This window comes from Homo sapiens, chromosome 5 (genome assembly GCF_000001405.40).
Source record: "Homo sapiens chromosome 5, GRCh38.p14 Primary Assembly".
Classification (NCBI taxonomy): Eukaryota; Metazoa; Chordata; class Mammalia; order Primates; family Hominidae; genus Homo; species Homo sapiens.
Window position 1 is genome coordinate 38,720,501 of NC_000005.10, and position 23,106 is coordinate 38,743,606.

A 23,106-nucleotide genomic window follows, 5' to 3' on the forward strand; every position below is an offset into this window, starting at 1 on the left:
AGGCTGGCCTTCGAAAGAATAGCAGGATTATTAGGAGAGCAGAAGGAGGCAATCGAAACCTCTGTGGGGATGCTGATATACGCTATAGAAGTAAGATTCTGAAAAACTTCAGAGGATGCCAACTAGGTTCTTTGTTTAATCTAATTTCATTGCAAACCCCAGGGTAGTTAAATCTCTAAAATTATTCCTAGGTTCATTAGGCTTAATACAGCTTATTTCTTGGATCACAAAAGGGACCAAGAAAGGAGAGGAAATAACATTTTTTGAATGAGGTAAATAGGCAAGAGTTAGAAGAAACTAAGAAGATAATTGAAATGCATGTCTCACCATGCGTGAGAAGGAAATTAGCTAGCATGGAAATAGCTGAAGTTGAAGCAGTGAGTGTACATGCTCGTCATGAAGTTAGTGGAGCATATTAGTCCTTCTCACACTGCTATCAAGAACTACCTGAGACTGGATAATTTATGAAGAAAAGAGGTTTAGTTGACTCACAGTTCCACAGGCTGTACAAGAGACATGGCTGGGGAGGCCTCGGGAAACTTACAATCATGGTGGAAGGTGAAGGAGAAGCAAGCACCTTCTTCACATGGCAAAGAAGGAGAGAGAGAGCAAGTAAATGAGGAAGTGCTACACACTTTCAAACAACAAGATCTCGTGAGAGCTCACTCACTATCATGAGAGCAGCAAGGGGGAAATCCACCTCCATGATCCAATAACCTCCCACCAGGTCCCTCCCCCAACACTGGGGACTACATTCAACATGAGATTTGGGTGTTAACACAGAGCTAAACCATATCACAGAGGAGACCATGTAAGGCCCTGGAGAACATGTGGGGCTGGGAAGGGCATAGGTGTAATGTGCTGGGACTGATGTTCCTGAAAGGACCATGCTGGCTGCTGTGTTTGTCAGGGATCAAGGTGGAATGTAAGCAATGAACTTGGTTGTAGCAGAATCCAGAATATGAACTGGGTTATATTCTGTATAAATTTTAAAGGTAGAACCATCAACATTAGCTGATGGTTAGTGGTACCTTTGACCCAATGGATTGCTTAACTACAGAGGAGTAGAAGGGAAAGTAAGGAGGAAGCTCTCTGGCTGGGGTTCATGGAAAATGCTGAGGACTAGAGTTCTTTGCTCAGGGCTCTGTCTCCCTGTCTTGACATAACTGCAGCAGTGTGGGCAGAACGGAGTGGTTGGGCTCTGAACTAGACTTATCCACTCGTCTCTCTTGTCTTTCATTCACAAGTACTTAGTGAGGGCCTACTATGTACCAGGCACAATGCTGAATTCTGGGAAGAGAGACAGCTAGTGAACAGGTTCCTCACCCACGGAACTCACAATCTAACCAGAGTCATGCACCCAAAATGACATTTTGGTCAATGACAGATCACTTATACAGTGGTGGCCCCATAAGATTACAATACTGTATTTGGACTGTACCTTTTCTATGTTTAGACATGTTTATATACATGCAAATATTTATATTGTGTTACAGTTGCCTACGGTATTCAGTACAGTAACCTGCTGCACAGGTTTGCAGCCTGGGAGCAAGAGGCTACCCTATATAGCCTGGGTGTGTAGTAGGCTATACCATCTAGGTTTGTGTAAGTGCACTCTATGATGTTCACACAATGTCAAAATAGCCTAAGGACAAATTTCTCAGGGCATATATCCATCATTAAGTGATGCACACCGTATACTGGATTGCTTTATGGATGCAAGTAGGATTTCCCCACGTGCCCTATACCTTTTTACTTCCATTCAATTCTTCTCATGTTATTTCCACCTATTAAAATGTTTTCCTTTCCCTGAGGCCTGTTTTCACCTGTCAAAGTCCTCTCCAGTTCAACTCCCAAGCTGTCTTCTTCATGAAGCCTCCTTCATTTTCTACCGTCCATTTTCAAAGCCCTTTATGGCTACCTTCCCTAGAATGCTCATTGCACTAGAAAGTGCCTTTTCTGTAACTGACTTTCCTCTCTTAAAAGAATCTTGCAACTTATCTTCACCTGGGCTGTAGCTCCTAGCACATAGTAGATAATCAGAAATGACAAAAGAAAGCATGAATGTATTTTCCCAAGAGACAGAATGCAAAGTTAGAAGTGTAGAAGGCCAAGAACTTAGGCAGTATGATAGAGGTGGGGAAAAAGATAATTCAGAGAAAAAGAGAAGGTAGTCACAGAAAGGTCAGATGCAGGAAGAAACCATATTAAGGAAGGGAGGGGCAACGAATTAGCAGAGAGGTCACTAAGGGGTCTCTCTGCAAGGATGGGGTCACTGGATATCTCAGATAGGGTTTTTCTATTAGGATGGTGGAACAGAGGCCAATTTGTAAGAGGGTAACAAATGGATGCAGTGATTGTGGCCAGGTCCAAATTAGCTGTCATTTTCTCTATATTACTACTTATCTGTAGAAGTTGTTAATTAGTCATCCAAAGCATCTTTGTTTCTCAGAGTAAAGTGCAGAAAACAGAAACAATTAGGTATTTCAAGCAGGAGGGGCTGTGGGGGCAGAAGTCAGGAAGCTGCTGATCAAGTGTAGGTTTCAAGGCCAAACCGTGGGTAGCATCCAGAGAACAGGCTGCTGCTGCTTTCACAATTACCAGGGCTGCTGCCTCAACCACCTCATCCCTTGAAGCAGAAGCTGGAGGTCAGCTGTCGAAACACCCGCATCTGTTGGCGCTCACTCATCAGCTGCTATAGCCATGGAGAATGGCCTCTGCCTCCTGTCTGCCTCCCATATCTCTGGCAAGGGCAGCTCTCTGGCTAAACCAAGCTTTCCTGTAGAGCTTGAGTTCCAAGGCAGCGTTGGAAGGCTTTCAGCTTTCCAACCGTTCCAGATAGAAAGGGGATAAAATGGAGGTTGGGGGCGCTCCTCCAAATGTGTGCCATGGCCTCCCACATGGCTGGCAGGTGTGAGGGCCTCTGCCTTGTTACTGTCCCTCTGGGTGGAGGCTGGGTGGGCCGGGGCAGGTGCTGCGACACAAATGGACTTCACCAGGAAGCCTTTCCTGTCTCTCTCCTCCGACTGCAAAATGTTGTTCTCCAGCTCCCTCCTTTGCAATTTCATAGCTCTTTTCTTAATTATACTATGTATTACATCAGCCTGAGTTTTTTGTTAATTAGATATATGTTGTTGCTCTTCTCCCCCGATGACTCATTTCTCAAAATGTATAGACTCAAAATAGAGTTTAGTCACAGAAAGTGTTGTATTATCATTATTGTTATTGTCTCCATTTATCTCTTTCCTAAATCCTAGCCATTCTGTGAGTGCTTGATCTCTGCTTGTTACATTAAGTGGATCCTCAATGCTCCATCTTAATAGGTGGTAATTCCTCCTAAGGACCCCTCCCCCTACCACCCCAATTGTCTTAGTCCGTTCAGGCTGCTATCACAAAATACCATAGACGGGGTAGCTTATAAAAAACAGAGATTTATTTTTCACAGTTCTGGAGGCTGGAGGTCCACGATTAGGGTGCCAGCATGGTCAGGATATGGTGAGGACTCACTTCTAGATTGCAGACTGACATCTTCTCACTGCCTCCTCACATGGCAGAAAGAGGATGAGAGATTTCTTTGGGGGCTCTTTCATAAAGGCACTAATCCCATCCCTGAGGGCTCTGCCCTCATGACTTCATTAGCTCCCAAACCCCACCTCCTAATAGCATCACACTGGGGGTTAGGATTTCAGCATATCAATTTTGGGGGGACACAGTCTGTTGCACCAATACACACATACATAACACCCTCACCCACACACACACACACACACACACACACGGTGACTTCCCTGGTATCATGCCTCCTACCCCCAGGTACATGGTTTTGGGAAAATAAAAGGGATCACCCCTTTACAAAAAATGTGGGGACATCTGTTGTAATAAAATAATATGTTTAATTTTCCTTGGGTGGCCAGAGAGTTCTCAGTCCACACTGACTCCAAGGAGTGACTAACTCTAAGTCAGCAGTGGGGGTTGGCTCACTGAGTAGGATTTGCACCCCCTGCTGCTGTTGCCTTACTCTGTGTTTTGGGGAATGCTGCTGAAGATGAATGAGAGATTTATTGAGATCAACCTCCACTCCCTTGTACCATGCAAGACCTGGATTTGGTTGCCAGTATTTCCTAAATGAGTTTATGGCAGAGTTGCTGTAACACATTTTTATCAAACTGAATATTTTATACTGAAACCTATGTGAATACCATTAATATTATACTGTATCATACTCTGAAGGTTCAGTCTAATGACACAAGCATCTTTTTTTTTAAACCTCATGAATGACGGACTAGGTCAGGCTTCCACATGGTGAGGAGGCAAAGAGAGACGCCACTTGGGAACAGGATTGGCTTTTCTATTGGGTAGTTCTCTGTGATAATGGGTTTTGGTGACAGGATTTTGCACAGCTGCCCTTACTAAGGAATCAGATGAGGTTTTGCTCACTTAAAGTGCCTCAAAGGTATTTTCTTAGTATAATAGGATACAATAATAATAACTGAACAGCTGAATTTGGAGGTAAAGTCAAGACAATATGATTATCATCTTTCTGTCTAAGGCATCTGATTTGCTGGCGTTTACGTTTATCGCCAGCTGGAGGTGGGCATCTACCGTTTTTGAGGGCTCTTGACATCTCCTCCTCCTTCAAATAAGAATCAACAAATCTAGTCCGAAGGGGACACTATGGGTCAGGGCTGTGTTATGTACAGGGTTTTGCCCTTGGGAAGGAGATTGTCTCCCTGAGCAGGGAAGGAAGCCCCATAGCTTCACCGACAGCAGGCAGTAGTAAGGACCAGTTAGGTCCCTGGGATTCCCCAGCCAGGCAGCCCACTTTCTTTACTTTTTTTCTTTTCTTTGGCAAGACCCCTCTATTTGTCCTCTCAGTACAATGCAAATACCCGAGAGAGAGTCACATGGCCTCTCCAACTATTCTTGTTTCCGCCTGAGTTTGGAAGTTCCTCCAGGGCCTTTCTGTAGCAGGCATTCATCCCCTTGGCTGAAAAGGAGTTCCCTGGGAGCTGTGTGGGATCAGCGCCAGGGACACTAAGGAGTATATAAGACGAACAGGGGGTCTTTTCTTTGAGAACACAGTCCCATGGCAACCCGCCGGGAGGTCCCTGCTCAGAGCCAGCCTGCCTGGCAGAACTCATTTACTTAGCATTGCCTTGAATTATTCATCAGCTCTTGCAGAGGAACAAAATGCAGAGTCATTTTGTCTCCTCCAGAACTGGCTGTCCTACTCTTTGACCTCAGGAAATCTGAAAATTCACCGTGAGCATCCTGAACTCTCCAGCGCACTTTGGACAGGGACAGGAAAGGGTCTTATCATCTTCCCCTTCGATGTAAGGATGAGTCCTGCTGAGCGGGTGTCTCTGGCTACTGGGGCCTTTGGGCTGTGCCTTGTTCCTCTTCTCGCTGTTCATTAGGACAGGCTGTATCTCAGGCCTCCCACTGGATGGCCCTAATATCTTGACAGGTACTGGAGGTTGGAACACATTCCCCTTCTTGACCCTGGGGCCATGCTTAGCCTCCCAGGCTTCCCTTCCTACAAGCTCCACACTCCTAGGCCCGGGCAACCCTTCTTCACATAAGAACATACATGGGAAACACAGAAGGGACCTTCTCCCCATTGCCCCTGAACTTAAGCCTGCAACAACCCCACCACCTTTACTTTCAGTCCAAGCCCTTGAATTCTACTTCTCCAAGGAAATGTGATCCACCAGGCAAAAGCTCTGATTTCCTCCCTCTGCCACTAAACTTACCCACTGATACCCACTGTCTTCATACTTTTCTCTGTCTCCCTTTTTGACTGAAAGAAATATTTTCTCTTAAAACATTGCTGTCTCTAGCTATGCCCTGGAACATCTCCCTTTGCCCGAAAACCCTGCTCCTTCACTCATGCCCTGCTCGCTTCTGTTCAATCCTCTTCCAGAGAGGCAATGTGGCATGCTAATTAGGGCGCTGGTGGCCTGAGAGTGAGTGCTAGTGCTGCCACCTGCCAGATGTGTGACCTGGGGCAGTTGCAGAGTGCCTTCAGCAATGTAGTAGATATTAGTAACTTCTGGTGATCAGAGGTAGAGCAGTCCTTGACAACCTCTAACAAGCCTATGTTACCATGACAGCAAGTCTGAGGTCAAATTCAGATAAAAGTACAAATATTTATTGGCAAGCAGGCACCAAACTACCACAAATCTGTTATTGCAAGCTTGGTTTCTGCTTGCTGTGTCCTCAAGCACTCTGACAAGCACCTTGCACATAGATGGAACAATACTCTGACAGCAGGACCAGTGTATTAGTCTATTTTCACACTGCTGTAAAAAACTACCCGAGACTGGGTAACTTATAAATAAAAGAGGTTTAGTTGACTCACAGTTCCGAATGGCTGGGGATGCCTCAGGAAACACAATCATGGCGGAAGGCAAAGGGGAAGCAAGGCAATTAAGTCTTACATGGCGGCGAGAGAGAGAGAGAGAGAGAGTGAAAAGGAAAGTGCCTTGCTTTTAAACCTTCAGATCTCATGAGAACTGTATTATGAGAACAGCAAGGGGAAGGCCACCCCCATGATCTAATGACTTCCCACCAGGCTTCTCCTCTGACACGTGGGGATTACAATTGGAAATAAGATTTGGATGGAGACACAGAGCCAAACCATATCAACCAGCAGGCAAGACTGGGGAGAAGGGGCCTGGGGGACATAGCCACCTTTGGGGTATAGGTTTCTGATTAGTAGACTTCGAATGTTAACTACCTACCCCAAGGGCTAAGTTATATATACAAATGTCGCACTGAAGTTTACGTTGAATTTATTTATTTATTTATTTTGAGATGGAGTCTTGCTCTGTCACCCAGGCTGCAGTGCAGTGGCATGATCTGGCTCACTGCAACCTCTGCCTCCCAGGTTCAAGTGATTCTCCTGCCTCAGCCTCCCAAGTAGCTGGGATTACAGGTGCCCAGCACCACGCCTGGCTAATTTTTGTGTTTTTGGTAGAGATGGTGATTCACCATGTTGGCCTGTCTAGTCTTGAACTCCTGACCTTAGGTGATCCACCCGCCTCGGCCTCCCAAAGTGCTGGGATTACAGGCGTGCACCACCATGCCCGGCCTACATTGAAATATTTTAAAGTAAATTACCATACAAACAGTATAGCAGTAAATGACTTAACCTTTCTGTGCCTCAGTTTCTTCATTCTGTAAAATGGCAATAATAATGGTGTCTACCCTACGGCAATGTTAGGAGGATTAAATGAGTTGGTTAATACATATAAAACATTTGAAACTGAGCTTGGCACATAGTAATTACACACTCAGTACCTTCGTTGTTATTTTCTTTCTCTAACTCACTTATTCCCAGCAACCCACAGAATTCTTCCTTAGACCTCACGTATCTTTACATCCTCTTTGCTGCCAAATTTCTTCAAAGCCTAAGCTTTACTCTATGCCTCTATTCAATCAATTCGACACCAATTTTCCACTTGATTGTACATTTTTATCATAATACCTTATTTAATTCACCAAACATTGCTAAGTTAACAAATATACTGGGCATCCTGTGCTAGGTGCTGAGAAGGACTTCAAGAGATGTATTTAGTGAATGTAACTCTTTAAGGAGCTTATGGTAGAGTTAGAGAAAAGAATGCACAACTGAATTCCTTGAAGACCGGGGCCTCGACTTAAAATGTGATTATAGGGAGTGGAGTGGAAGGGGTCAAAATGTAAATATAAAGTACAAGTAGGACTGTTTATTTCTCACATATGGAAAAGACTCACTACGCTTAGCACAACAGACACCACATGTTAACATTCCTAAGAGTTATGAAGTTCTAAAAATAGGGGGAATAGAAGAATACAGGCTTTCCTCAATTCAAGGGTGTTTTATGTTTGACATAAGATACTTTCACATATCTTAGGACCCAAAGAAAGGCAAAATCTAATTAAATGACCATTTTGAGCAGAAGTTGAAATTTTGCTTGAGCAGCAAAAGAATGAGTTATTGTCACCTGAACATAAAGGCCATGGCTGAGGGGCACCACTTTTGAGTGTTCTCAAGATTGAGGCAGCAAGTAAGAATCTAATAAAGATCTAGGCCAATATCTTTGATTGCTGTGCAACTTCCAACAAGCGGAGAAAGCAATGCAAAAAAAAAAGTGATGCCCAGAAATTGACAGATTGACCCAGATTATTCCCCAGCTAAGTCTTATTTCAGAAAGAGGTAGAATTGGATATAGAAATGTTTAAGAATATCAACTCAACAGTATTACTACTTTTGCGTTAGGAATCTGTGCACATTTGGTATTTTAGGCATGTGAGTTATAAATAGGTCAGTCTTGACATTTCAATTAAAATGTTAATTAACTAATTTAGAGTTTTAATTTTAAGTGAAAATATTACTAAGTTTTACCTAATATTGAAAAGTAAAAAAATAAAATAAATAAATAAAAATAAATAAAATAAAAAAGCAAAAAACTAAAAACTTAAGCTTAACCATACTTACAAGGTTGTGACTTATTAACTTTTAAGAGGTTATTTCAGTAATCAGGATAATCAGATAATTTTGTTAAATCAGGCAATTGAATTCCTTAAAAAGGAAATAAAATATATTAAATTTGTACATGCAGCTTAAAATGTTTAAAGGCGTTTAACTGAATTTATAAGTGATACAAAATATTAATTTAAGGACTTCAAATGTAATTTTAAAATTTGCTAGGCTTGCAGATCTTGTTCTATTTATAGGTAGAACTTAAAACCTCACAATTAGGAGCTTGAGTTTCACATGTGTAATTTGATAAATTGAATCTTTTTCTAAAAAAAAAAAAAAAAGGCCGGGCACGGTGGCTCACGCCTGTAATCCCAGCACTTTGGGAGCCCAAGGCAGGTGGATCACGAGGTCAGGAGATCGAGACCATCCTGGCTAACACGGTGAAACCCCGTCTCTACTAAAAATACAAAAAATTAGCCGAACGTCATGGCGGGCGCCTGTAGTCCCAGCTGCTCGGGAGGCTGAGGCAGGAGAATGGTGTGAACCCGGGAGGCGGAGCTTGCAGTGAGCTGAGATCGCGCCACTGCACTCCAGCCTGGGAGACAGAGAAGACTCCGTCTCAAAAAAAATAAAAATAAAAATAAATATAAATAAAAATAAATAAATAAAAACATGGTCTCATTCTGTGGCCCAGGCTGGAGTGCAGTGGTGTATTCACGGCTCACTACAGCCTTCACCTCCTGGGCTCAAGTGATCCTCCCATCTCAACCTCCTGAGTAGCTCGGACTACAAGTGAGTGCCACTTTGCCCAGCTAATATTTGCATTTTTTGTAGAGACAGGGTTTCTCCACGTTGCCCAGGCCGGTCTGGAACTCCTGGGCTCACGCAATCCTCTTGCCTCAGCCTCTCAAAGTGCTGGGATTACACTTAAGAGCCTAAGCTTCACTCTATGTCTCTACTCAATCAATTCTACACCAATTTTCCACTTGATTGTACATATCCATCGTAATTTCTTATTTAATTCCTCCATACATGGCCGATAAATTGAATATTAAATAAATGAAAACCATCAAAAGCCCTATTCCCCTGAATGATTTCCCCCCCCAAAAAAACTGCCCTTAAAGCAGTTAAACAACTATTTTATTATCCCACTGTGGAATACCTAGGCTTTGCCATCCAAGTCTTTATATTACTTTGAGTATAAATCTCATTTCTCTGACAAGACCATAAACTCATTTGGGGCCATAAATGTGCCACCTATTTCTGTTGTATCCCCCAGAGGACATATATACGGTAGATGCTTCTTTTGCAACTGCTGTATGGCTTTGGGCAGGTCACATTATCCCTCCAGCCTCTGGCATCTGAAATGGAGGGGATGGGACATGATGGTAGAGAGAAGGACCCGTGTCTATATTGTGGCTGCTGTATTTCTGGGGCCCACACCTGTCTGAGGCACATGGCAGGTACTGTACATACATCATTGTATGAATGGACAAATGCACTAGTTACTTCTAAGACTTCTTTTATGTGTACCCCAACTGTTATGTCCCTCAATGTCTAGAAAGACTGCAGGAGCAGTCCATTAACAGAAAGAAGGGAATCTTACCCATGACAGATTAGATTACAATTGGAATCCAGGAGATGAGGCAAATTTTTCCTTAACTGTTCCCATGTGGTCACCTTGCAGCCCAAAGTGATTCTCCTGCTGGCTTCCATCAGATCTGCTCCTGTCCCAGAGGGTCCTGCTCCTGCCTTTGTTCAGGGAAACCTAACATTCTTCAGAGTGGAGCACGGTAGGCATGAACATTAATGGCATCCCATTAATTAAAGTTGAAGCAAACCTGGGCAGTGTGGTGTGGTACAGAGTTTTCTTCCTGACTCTGCCTCAAATTCTGTTCTATTTTGAGCAATTTCTATCCTCTTTTTGGAAGCTTACTCTGGAACATAAGACCTGTGGCAGCAGTTCTTAAACTTTTTGTTCTCAGGACTCTTTTATACATTTAAAAATTACTGAAAACAACCAAAGAGATTTTGTGATATCTACTGAGTTATGTCTATTGATATTTACTGTAGTACACATTAGAACTGAGACATCTTTAAAACGGAAGAACACACAAGCACAGCTTCTGTTTGTCATCAGAGAGAAGATGTCACCATATATCATGGAGCCTCTGAAAATCCCATGATCCACTTGAGGGAGAGTGGTCATGAAAAAACATCTTAGCCTCATGGTGGAAATAGCTTCCAGCTTGCTGACTTCAGACTCCACCTTGAGGACACCTGATCTAAAGGGCTGTGGTGCAGTGATACCTGCCCATCACGAAGGCTTAGGTTTCATTAAGAAAAAGGAAGACTGAAGAGCTTATTGTTTTAACTCCAAGATGCAGAAGCCACCTCACACTCTCACATATTTCCTTTGGCCTTCAGAGCCATGGGGACCACAGGGCTGTGGCTGCCTAAGAACTCCCTTCATTTCCATGTGTCCTATTTGTTGTTGCCAACAGGGTGTGTCAGTGGGTCTGACTATCTCCCCCAACTGCCTCATTCCTGCCAATCCAGACCCCAAGTCAACACTCAGGGACACAGCCTGACTTTATGAGAACTGGGCACACCATGGAAATAACTTCTGGAGCACCTGGAAAACTGACATAGGATGGGACTGGCTTTTTTCTTAAACCCAGAAACCCCAGTGCACCTTCTGCCAAGTCAGCATTTGCTGGCAAAAATCCTTTGCGAGCGGCCAGACTCTGGTGAGCCATGGGAGACGAGATGGCAATGGATGGAGCGGGCAGCACTGGCAGAGGGTTGATGAGGGCAAGGAGAGGGCTGGGCAGGCACCACCAACAGGGATAGTTAAAGGCCCATCTGTGCCTGGGAGGCTGAGGCATGGAGAAACCTGAATTTGGTGCTCAGAGTCTCCTAGGGCTCTAGACAGTGAAGGACAAGAAGGTCATCCATGTGTCTTATCCATTCCATCATGCAGTTTTATAACACTACATGTTTTCATCTGTCTGGCAGCTTTGCCAAGATTTTAGCATTCCAGGACATCTGATTAGCTGCTCCCCTGCCATATCCCACTCCACCAGCTCTTTCTCCTGTAGGGTATTGACACTCCAGGATGAACTGCACAGTACTATACAGAGTCAAGGACATACCACTGTAGTCCATTGGGATGCCAGTTTGAGCAAATACTATGCAGAATGAAGTGTCTGTACTGGAGGTTCACCTGCTTCATATTCTCTTAGAAAGCCAGACAAGATCCCCTCACTACAAGGCAGAGGCACCCCAGAGAGGCTAGGGGACACAGGTAAGGGCCCTGCCCCTGGGCAAAATTCCAGAGTCGGCAGTCCCTCCTCTCCCACCCTGTTCCCTTTCCACATTCATCTCCTTCTTCCTAGGGCAGAGCTGGACAGGATGCTTTGTTCTGGGACCTCCTAACATTTTTGGAAAAATTATGTATCCCCATCACACATTTTTAAATTATCGTATAAAATTTTTATTGCAGGTTTAAATAATTAAAGAGGATATAATTTCTGGCACATTGACTTTTAAAACTGTTAAATCATTCAATTAAATGTATTAAATACCCACCTCCTTGTATTCAAAAAGCACATGAATAAGCTCTTTTGTAACAGTCAGAAATTTTCCATTATTTATTTTTTTCTCCTTGAACTCATATTTCTATCTTATGTTACTCACAGAATTTTATTAGTATAAGATCCTTTTAAACTTGATAATCTTTTATTGAGCACCACATCATAATTCTTGGCAGCAAAATAAGTTCATAAGTTAAAATTTAACATATTTAATTTTTTCTAGATTGAATATTTATTATTATTAATACAAAATTAGTTGAAATTTTCTGTCACCAGAAGACTATGCTTGTTAATAAATATTCTGCATTGATTTATCATTACAATTTATATTAGCACATACTTGGGTAAAATAAAGCCATTATAATATAACATTTTTAAATAACCATTAAACATACAAAGGAAATTAGTCTTTAAATAAAAAGATAAATTGGTGTATCATGAATGAATGTTGCTTATTGCTAGAATAAGATGATATTTTGTGGAAATTATTAGCAAAAAAAGAGGAGCCATCGTGCCACTAAATCTACAGAAAAGTTGAAGCAAACAGGAGACTTGTATCCAAATTTAAAAATAAACATGAATTTACAGTACACAATCTTTTGGCAAAAGTTGAAAGAAATGGTTCACCCGTGAGTTTGAGTAAATGTTTAAGAAAATATGTCCATCTAGCTTGCTTTAATTTGAAACTATAATGTTAATCTTTCACCTCCTCCTACTTAAAATCAATGCAAAATATGTATGTGAGACACAGGCATTGGTATTTCAGGTTGACCCTCTCTGGCACCATCCAGGGCTTTCCTCTGGGGGACAGTACATCCTAGTGAGATTTGGCATGCATGACAGGTAGACTTTCCTTTTAAAAAGTGCCACTGAGGCCATTGCACAAAAGGAATCAAGTATGAGAACTAGCATGACAGCCAAGGGGTGTCCAAACATGATCAGTTTTGAGAAAGAGTATATATGGAAACTAGGATTCGGAATGTAATTCTCTTAAAATTACCCATGCCCATGTGCCCCTTGAGACTTAGTAATCCCTACCAGTGGGCTGCTCTGGGGCACCCTCTGTCAATCATCAGTTCTTTGACTGCACTTATCCCAATGTCCATTTTCTTCAAGCCAAAGATCTAGGGCCCCCATTTCAACAACACCACTACAGCAGTCTTCCTCTCTCCCCACCCTCAATCTTCCAGGCACAACTCTCATTCTTGGGACTTCAGACCTTGGTTTCTGATTTGTCACACAATGACCTGAGTCCATCCAAATATATCATTTGCAACTGAGAGGTAGACAGTTTCTAAAGGCCTTGCCTCTTGTTGGTGAGGTAGTTGGGGACACTCCTATGCTCTTACCCACTGTGTCCTTTCTGCCTTTTTTCCCATGTACCCCAGTCTCTTCAGTATCTCAAGGTTGCTATACACAATAAGCTGCAATATACACAAATAAGGCAGCAACCAGAAAAGTACCCCAAATATAACTTCAGTTTGCTGGGTAGTTAATCTGGGTCCATAGCTCAGAAGCACCTTTAAAGCCCAGTTTCTGGAAGGAGAGATGGAGGAAGAGGAACAGAGTTACTCAAGTGTGGTCATGACAAAAGTGCAGAATTGGAGGGTGCTAGATTGTCCAGATGAGCAGCTCAGGTGCTAGAACCAAGGGATCCTGCTGGTATTCACCTCCATCCCCACTACGCTCCCTCCCTTCCCATTGTTCCTGCCACATCAGAATTCCCAGAGTGGAGCAGAAAGAACTAGATATGGAAAAGTGAAGGAATAAGGTGGTAATTCGTCAGTCTTCAGCTATACTTCCCATGACAAAGGGAGAAGGAAAGGGATTGACCTTAGACACTATCTCTAGGCAAAACAAGATTTCCGTGGCATTCTCTCACCTTCTTTTCCCAATTTCTCATCCCGTCTCTCCAGATGGCTTCTTTCCTACTCCCTTCCCTGGCTGCCAGTAGAGGTATTTTTAGGTCTGGGGGCCTCCCCTAGTGGCAACCAGGGAAGAGGAACGCCCAAGCACCTGGGTTTCCTGTGGTTACATTGACTCAGGAATTCAGGGGTTCCTCCTTCTTCAAGCCTCAGCCTGACAATTCAAGAAACGCCAAGAACTTTCTGGAAGTGAAGCAGGCTGACCCATTTGATCTGGAATGAGTGATCTGTTGAACAATTCTGTAGCTATAAAAAAAGTATTCATTTATAATTGTATCAAGTTGTAGTTTATAGTCTGCTTAATGAGGCCATTAGCTATATTACAGCATGTTGTGCCCAGCAGAATCTTTAATGACTTCTGCGGACTAACAAGACAGGTATTGAGTGTGATGTCGGTGTTATTATCCTCATTTACAGAAGAGAAATAAGTAGTGGGCCCAAATTCCCAGTCTATAGACTGAGAGGTGACTCGGCGGCTAAAGTCAAGGTCTGCTTTGAGCCATTCTTAGTTTGCCTGTTTGTGCTTGATCAACCTATGGCAAGGTTTTCCCTCTACCACTGGGGTTCTTCCATCTTCTAACAGTGAAAGGAACAATTAAAGGGTTATATGTTAGCATATATATATGTGTTTCTCACCTAGAAGAGTAAAACCTTCTTGAGAGCAGAATCCTGGTTTGGCCTGATTCATCTTTGCGTCCCCCATATTATCTGACACCACATGAGCTGGCATTGTGCCTTGTAGGTAGCAGACACTTAATATATATTACATATTTGTGAAAAAATAAGTAAATACCCCCTTTTCCTGAAACAGGTTATTGCATCTTGATTATCAAGCATCATTTCACAATTTTCCATATACATAATGTGTTCTGATAGATAATTTCAAGTCACACACAGTGAGTCTCAGAAATATACGATTTGGCAACTGTGGGTTATCTAAAAAGCAGATCTGTGGAAATTAAAACAAAACAACCAAATGAAAAGCATGTCATATTACTAAGTTCCAAGTGTTCTTATCCTAGTGCCGTATTGTCTGTTTACCAACTACAAGTCCACAAAAGCTGATGGTGTAAATAAACATCTGCTACCTTCTTGGGAAAATTACATTCACTGAACTTTAAAATCCTGGATTCCTAACAAACAGAATATTTGGGAAGAGCTAGGGATGACTAAATTGAGATAAGAGAATACAGAAAGCTAGATTGGTAGGGGATGGTGGTCACTGAAAAATGCAAGGTATTATGTCTGTTTGCAATGTATTTGTAATCTCTTGGGGTCAATTAGACTTATAGAAATGATATTTAAGAAGACTTAGCTTGGCGTCTAGGTTCAAATGACTGTTTGGTCTGGTTCTGGTCAGGGAAGATTTGAGATCTGAGCTGGGCATTAAAAACTGTTTAAAATTCGGGGAGGAGATGGAAGGTCTATTGGAGAGGGCTGAGGGTGAAGCAGCCAAGAGTCTAGAATCAGGGAGAAGCTGACTTCGCACAGGTGGTATTTTCCCACCTCTGCACACCTGCCTCTCTTTGCCAGTCTAAGTCTTGCCTCTCTACTCACATTTACTTCTGCTGAACTGCACCACCTTTTCCTCCCATGCTGGTAATTTCTCAGCCTTAGTGGAAGGTGGAGATTAGCTGTCTGTGGCAGAGACTGCTGGTCAACATGATATCTGTTCTCCTTTTTTCTTCTTGGAAATAAATCTAAGTGCTGGCCAATGGGATATAAACAGAAGTGGCATTCACCTTCTGGAAAATGTCCTTCAAGGGAAGTGGTTTATCACATTCCCACCCCATCTCCTTCCCGCTGACTGGAACGCAGATCATAAGGTAGAAGCTGTCACCTAGGATAACAGAGTGATGAGATTAATAAAGCACAAGTTGCTGACAATACAGAGTTCCTGGCAGCCCTGGGCTATCCCCAGAATTCTTTTATGTGAGAAAGAAAAAAGAAAAAAGCCAGTGTTAATATTTTTATTGTTGGATTTTTTTTTTCATTTCTGTCTTTTGCAGCTGGGCCTTTTATCTTTTACACTCTAGGATTAGAGCTAACTTTACACAAGGAAAATTAGTTTTGTTAAATTAACAAAAGGATGATTGTACAATTTATAAATTTAAAAAATGCAAATAGAAATCAGGAGATGCCATTGTGTCTGCTAAAATTCTTAAAAAAAAGAAAGAAAAGTGATAAAACTCTATGGTGCTAAGGCTTCAGGGAAACAGGTAGGTTAAAGTGGACTTTAACAGGTAGATTAAAGGTTGAGAGTTGGTATAAGTCTTCTAGAAAACACTGGCCACTTAAGTCACTTGCCTTAAATATGTTACCCGGTGATCTAATTCTTGAAAGATTGGAAAATACATTGTAATCAATGACTTAAAAATAAAAATGTATAAAGATGATCATAGCAGTTATTTAAACAGCAGAAAACCAAAACTGCCTAAATGTAGTACTACAGGGGAATGGTAAATGATTGTACATTAAATTGATGGAGAACCATCCAGCCATTTCAAATAATATATGATAACTACCATGCAATAATTTGCAAACATACTTGTAAAATAATGTTAAATTAAAAAAAATATCCCGGATGCTAAATATATGTTGGGATGGTAGCTGTCAAATTTTGGCTGTTGACTCAACCTTGTTCCTTTCATCTCATTTTACCCATCCACATAGCGTCCAGGGAGAACTGAGCGTCCCAGATGTGTTCATTGCAAATTCCTGGACTCTCCCTATATTGCTACCTTTGCAGAAACATTCCCTTCTTCTTTATTTGAACCTTACTTATTCTTGAATTTTGGGTTTTGTGTTTTACAAAGTGATTCCCAATGGAACATCTCAGGTAGACAAAAAGGCTTTTAAGAATCATCAGGTGTTCCACAGTAGCCAGACAGGCCCAAAGCAGTGAGAGACCACTCACAAAAAGAATTATGGACGTGGCTTTGGAGCATGTGGTGGACTTAAGTAAAAATAATAGAAGACCTATATTTTAAAGAGAATTTTACTGGGGTGTGGTGGGGGCGGGGGGCGCGGTGCAGAACTTAGCCAGATCGGAGTAAAAGGCTCTGAGATTTCACAAATTGAAAAATGACTTTGGGTCCCACAATTTTTTTGAGTAAAGAGTAGGCTCAGAAGGCTATTCAGCTGACAACATGGGCTATTTCTATGGAAAAAGAAGGTTGTCTCAGGATGAAAGGCCCAGAGCCCAGGTGGAGGAGCCAAGAGTAATGGAGAACAATGGACTGGGAGCTACTCCCCTAGAGCGGAGTGGATCCTGCTGTCAGAATAGGGGGACCGGGCAACATGTGCCGAGCAGGATTATGAATTGGAATTGGTGACTGCTATATGTCTTCTTTTAATTCCCCTTTTTAAGGGACGTATTTACTGCCATTGTCCTATCCCTTTCTCACTATTGTTTGTTGAGTGTGTGCAGAGCATATAACTTATCTCTTTAATTTACAGGTCTCTGGATCCAGGGAAGTCACAGCCAAGGAAGTGCATGTGAGAAGCCTAACCCTCATTTGGACTTGACAGAAATCACAGGATCCTAGACTTTGCCATAATTGATGCTATAATTGAATGCAATTGATGGGGGTCCTGGCGGGAATCAGTACATTTTTGCATGTGAAAGGACTGTGAATAATTGGAATTAACAGGAAAGGCGATTGTCTACTTTTGTAGTAATGGCCACCAGTGATTCACGCCCTCAGTCTGCAAGTAGCCCCTTCCCACATTGAGTCTGGGCTTGGCCGTGTGAATGACTATGGCTGCCAATGGGACATCAGCACATGCAATGCATGCAGAGGCCTGGAGAAACACTCGCTCCTTAGGGCTTGCCCTCTCTTGCTGCTTCCATGGAGCCCTCCCATCACTACATGAATGAGCCCGGGTTGACCGATCAGAGGATGGGAGACTATGTGGAGAAGAGCCCCAACTGTCCCAGCCAGCCCAGCTGAGGGTCTCAAAGATGTCACTGAGTTCCACTCCAGCCCAACTGTCTCAAACTAGAAGAAATACTAGTTATTCCATAGGATCATTTGATTGTGTTAAACCATTAAGTTTTGAGATGGTTTTTTAAGGCGGAGAAAGCTAACCAATATGGAAAGGCTCAAATGTAGATAAATCCAGCAACAGATGGAAGACAGGGGAGGTGACATTGAGGTAGCAAAATCTCTGGAGCCAGTTGTGTGGGCAGTTTCCTAAGAAAACCTAAAGCAGTTCACAGAGGGTGACCCTACTATGGCCAATGGAGAGCCACAAAAAAGAAAATGCCAGAAGTCAAGTTCAATGGGAAAATTGAAGATGGAAACTGAAGCATGAACAGTAAGTTTGGAAGTCCGTGGGATTAAGAAGAGACCAAGTGGTGGGAGAAATGAATGGATTAGACCAAGCGATTCAGAAATAAAGCTTTGGGCAAGAGGAAGTCATAGGTCCTCCTTTTATGAAGCAACTAATAATGCCTATACCCTACTGTACAGCAATTAAATCTGAATCTCTGAGAGTAGGGTCTAGGTATTTTTTAAGCATTGAAAAAAAGCTTTGAAAGAGTATTTAACAAGCTTCCCAGGTGATTGGATTATGGAGTAGGAGAAGACTCTGGAAGAGATGATGCAATCCCTAGAGCAAGACCCATTAGGTTTCTGAGAAATGAGTAAATACAGAATCGCTCAGAATCTCCTCATTTTCATATATTTGTGATTGATCTAAACTGCTATTAACCTCAAAGATCAGTGTTAGGACTTGATGACTAATGGCTACTTCTGAGTCAAAAATGAAATAGCACTTATTTTCATAACGTAATAAAATTCAAGTGCACATTAACTCAGATCCCATGAATCAGCGAATATGATCATTTGAACAGAGCCTGAAGTTATCTATGGAAATATATTTTGCATAAGTTATCACACAAGATTTCAAGATTTTGGTAGAAAGGCTTAAACTAACGAAAAAGAAATATCTTAAATGAGTAGGCCAGCCTGATAACTGAGACAATAAGGAGTAGTGGGGAGCTATGACAAATCAGATTTAGGGAGGAGGCTTTGTGCCAGCCAAAAGAAAAGAATTGAAGGCCAGTTTAGCCCACAGGCTGCCAGTTTATGGAACTCTGAGTCATAATAGAAACCATTATAATAGAGAAGTAAACATAAGTATAGAATTACAATAAATGAAGGGTCAGGAAAGGATTTGAAGAAGGAAGGAGCATGGAAATATTTTAAAGGCTGAGCAGTTTTTTTGACATCTTTAAATTTAATTTTTAAATTTAAAAAACTTTTCATTTGGAAATGATTTTATTGACAAACATTCTTAAAAAATTGTACAAAGGCTTTCTCCATATTCTTCACCAAGATTCTCCAAATGTTGACATCTAACAAGACTACGTACAATGATTAAGATCAGGAATTTTTCTCTGACATAATACTATTATCTAATCTATAGGCCTTATTCAAATATCATTAATTATCCTAATGATCTTTTTTTCTGGCTCAGGACCTAATCCAGGATCACACATTGCATTTGGTTGTTAAGTTTCCTTTAATCTGGAAGAGGTTTTTGTGTGTGTGTTATTGGTAACCTTAATATTTTCAAACAATTTTGGTCAGTTATTTCACGAAATGGCACTGAAGTTGGGTTTGTCTAATGTTTGCTCACAATTTAAATTTGGGTTATACATTTTTGGAATAAATATTACAGAGTGATGCTGTATCTTAGTGCATTGTAATCAGATATATGATGCCAATTTGGACCATTATAGGCCATGAAAATTTTGATCACTAAATTAGCATGGAGCCTGCCATGTTTCCCTACTATAATGTCACTACTGTTTCCTTTGTAATTAGTATAAAACTTATGAAGTGAAAGCTAACCAATACAGGGAGGCTCAAATAGGGATAAACCCAGCAGATAGAAGATGAGGGAGGTGACATATTTTGACATATGTAAATATCTTGTCAGTCATCATAGTTTTGTTCACTAATTTTAAAATTTATTGGTGAATCTTGCCTAAAGCAATTAGGGTGGTATTTGCCAGATGGTGATTTTCTAACTCCATTATTTCTTTTATATTTATTAGTTGGAATTCTACTGTACTTCTTCTTCTCTCCCATTTATTTGTTTGTTAATATCAGTATAGTCTCGCACATTCTTACTTTATTCCTTGGATTATAATCCATTACTAGCATTATCTTATTGCTCAAATTGTCCCAGATTTGACTGTAGGGAGTTTCTTCAAGTAGCCTCCTGTGTTCTTTTGACATATTCCCAATCTTTTTGTGGGTATATTTTCTTATTTCTGGCATTATAAGACAATTCATGCCCATCTTGTACTTACCCTGTCTCAGACCTAGAATCAGCCACTTTCTCCGAGAGACCTAGTAACTTTTATTGGTAAATGGTATTAAGAAACCAAGATCTGGGCAATTGGTATGTTAATTGGTATTGGGTGTCATTGCTTCTAGGCTCTCTCTGCAGACAGAAATAAGAAATACATGTGGGAACACACATGCATATATTTATAGATGCATATTTCTATATGTATCTATAAATTAAAAGCCATGAGTTCATGCTGATACCTCCAATTCTAATTCAACACTACAGAGTTCATTCTAGCTTCCCACCTTTATTTGTAACTCCTTTCTCTGACTCTCAGAAACACGGCCCTAATATTTTAATAATACATTATTTCTAAATCCTTGGATACATAGAAGTGGTTTAGAAAGTCTACTCATCTTTCCATACATTCATTTTCAAAAATGTCCATATCTAAATAAAACATTCTCACTCTGTCTCCTAAAAATACACAACCAAAGTATTATCCAGTTACAGCATCTGTCTCCAAGTCCAGGACTTCTGGATAATATGAAATCTTACTTCATTTTGGATGTAGTTCTTTGTGGTTAGACAAAACTATGGCTATAGCAAATTTATCAATCACCCACACATCCAATACACAATAAAGAGAAGAACAAGAATGACTTCAATAAAAAATGTCAATTACAAAGAGAATTGAGAAAACACGCACACGTGTGCGTGCGCGCGCACACACACACACACAGGACATTAGTACATACAAGACGTAATCCCCTAGGATGGGTATGTGACTTGGGATGAGAACATGACTTAAACGATCCAATCAGTCAGGGTGAATCTTGAGCTTCTGACTTAGAGATGCTGATACTGAGGATATTCTTTCTTTCTTTCAGCATTATGGTCTGATAATGCTCTGACAGTGGGGGAGGTCAAGCAATCTGGCAGCCTCCAGTTTTCATCTCTGGGAGACTCTTCTCTGTTCATTGACCTCCATAGCCATATCTAGAGAAGTTTCCCTTCCCAGGGGCTGCATAACTTTAGCATCCCCTTTTCCTTTTCTGTGTGTGTAACTTTACAGAGCCTGAGATTGCCTTAGGGCTTGAGCAGACATGGACTGTGGTTGTCCAGGATTGGGATTTCTTTAGCAATATAGCTGATATAGTTTGGCTGTGTCCCCACCCAAATCTGATCTTGAATTATAGTTCCCATAATCCCCATGTGTTATGGGAGGGACTAGGTGGAGATAACTGAATAATGGGGGGCAGTTCCCCCATCCTGTTGTGGTGACAGTGAGTTAGTTCTCACGAGTTCCGATGGTTTTATAAGGGGCTTCCCCCTTTGCTGGGCACTCATTTTTCTTCTCTCTGCTGCCATGTGAAGAAGGACATGTTTGCCTCCCCTTCTGCCATGATTGTAAGTTTCCTGAGGCCTCCACCCATGAGGAACTGTGAGTGCATTAAAACTCTTTCCTTTGGCCAGGGGCGGTGGCTCACGCCTGTAATCCCAGCACTTTGGGGGGCCAAGGCGGGTGGATCATGAGGTCAGGAGATCGAGACCATCCTGGCTAACACGGTGAAACCCCATCTCTACTAAAAATACAAAAACGTTAGCCAGATGTGGTGGCGGGTGCCTGAAGTCCCAGCTACTCAGGAGGCTGAGGCAGGAGAATGGCGTGAACCTGGGAGGTGGGGCTTGCAGTGAGCCAAGATTGCGCCACTGCACTCCAGCCTGGGCGACACAGAGAGACTCCGTCTCAAAAAAAAAAAAAAAAAAAGCAAAAAACTCTTTCCTTTATAAATCACCCAGTCTTGGGTATGTCTTCATAGCAGCGTGAAAACAGACTAATACAATAGCTTTTTACAAAACTTAATTATCATCAGTATATTTGACAAATCACTTCCACGGGCTGGAAACCATAGACAGAAAGCCTGTCTCTGCTCATTCTATTTGAGACAGGAATTTCCACTGTCTAAAAACAGGCCTCTGTTATATCATCATCCCGTCAGGCTTTAGTGTAATTGCCACTTTTATCTTGGCTCTTCTTCTGGAAGTTTCTGACAATAACTTGGAGTATAATGATTTGCTCCCTGCCCTCAGGTTCTGATACGGTTTGAATGTTTTGTTCCCTCCAAATTTCATGTTGAAATACGATCCTTAATGTTGGTGGTGGAGCCTAGTAGCAGGTGTTTGGGTCATGGGGGTGGATTCCTCATGAATGGCTTGGTGCCTTCCTCGTGGTAATGAGTGAGTTCTCACTCTGAGTTTATGGGAGATCTGGTTGTTTAAAAGAATGTGGCACTTTCCCCCACCCCCTGCTTGCTTCCTGTCTCACCATGTGAAACACTGGTTCCCCTTTGCCTTCTGCCATGACTGTGAGCTTCCTGACACTCTCACCAGAGGCAGATGCTGGCACCATGCTTCCTGTACAGCCTGCAGAAAATGTGAGCCAAAAGAAATGTGTTTTCTTTATAAATTACCCAGCCTCAGGTATTCCTTTATAGCAATGCAGAAGAGACTAATACAGGTTCTATCACAACTGTACTTGTTTGCTTTGTCAGATGGAGACTTTTCAGTAGGAAGTATTTGGGAGTAGCCTGAAGGGTTAGTGTTGTCTGTTGCACCCATCTTACCTCCTGTTTTTACATGTATGAACCTTAACTTGGAGTGGAGTATTCAGTCTTTGCAACACCACTAGATTCTAGTCATTTTGGATTGCAGTTCATACTCAGAGAGGGTCTTCCTAAGTAAGGCCATATTTTTTCCTTCTCTGCTTTTAGATAGGCCACTTCATCTTAAGATTGTCTCTTTATTATAG

General features: G+C 41.8%; 1 long non-coding RNA gene across 1 annotated transcript in view; it reads right to left on the bottom strand.

Moving 5' to 3' along the window:
• Positions 1 to 23,106, bottom strand: part of OSMR-DT (OSMR divergent transcript) — a 152,617-nt gene that overhangs the window by 27,288 nt on the left and 102,223 nt on the right. The window lies entirely within an intron of this gene.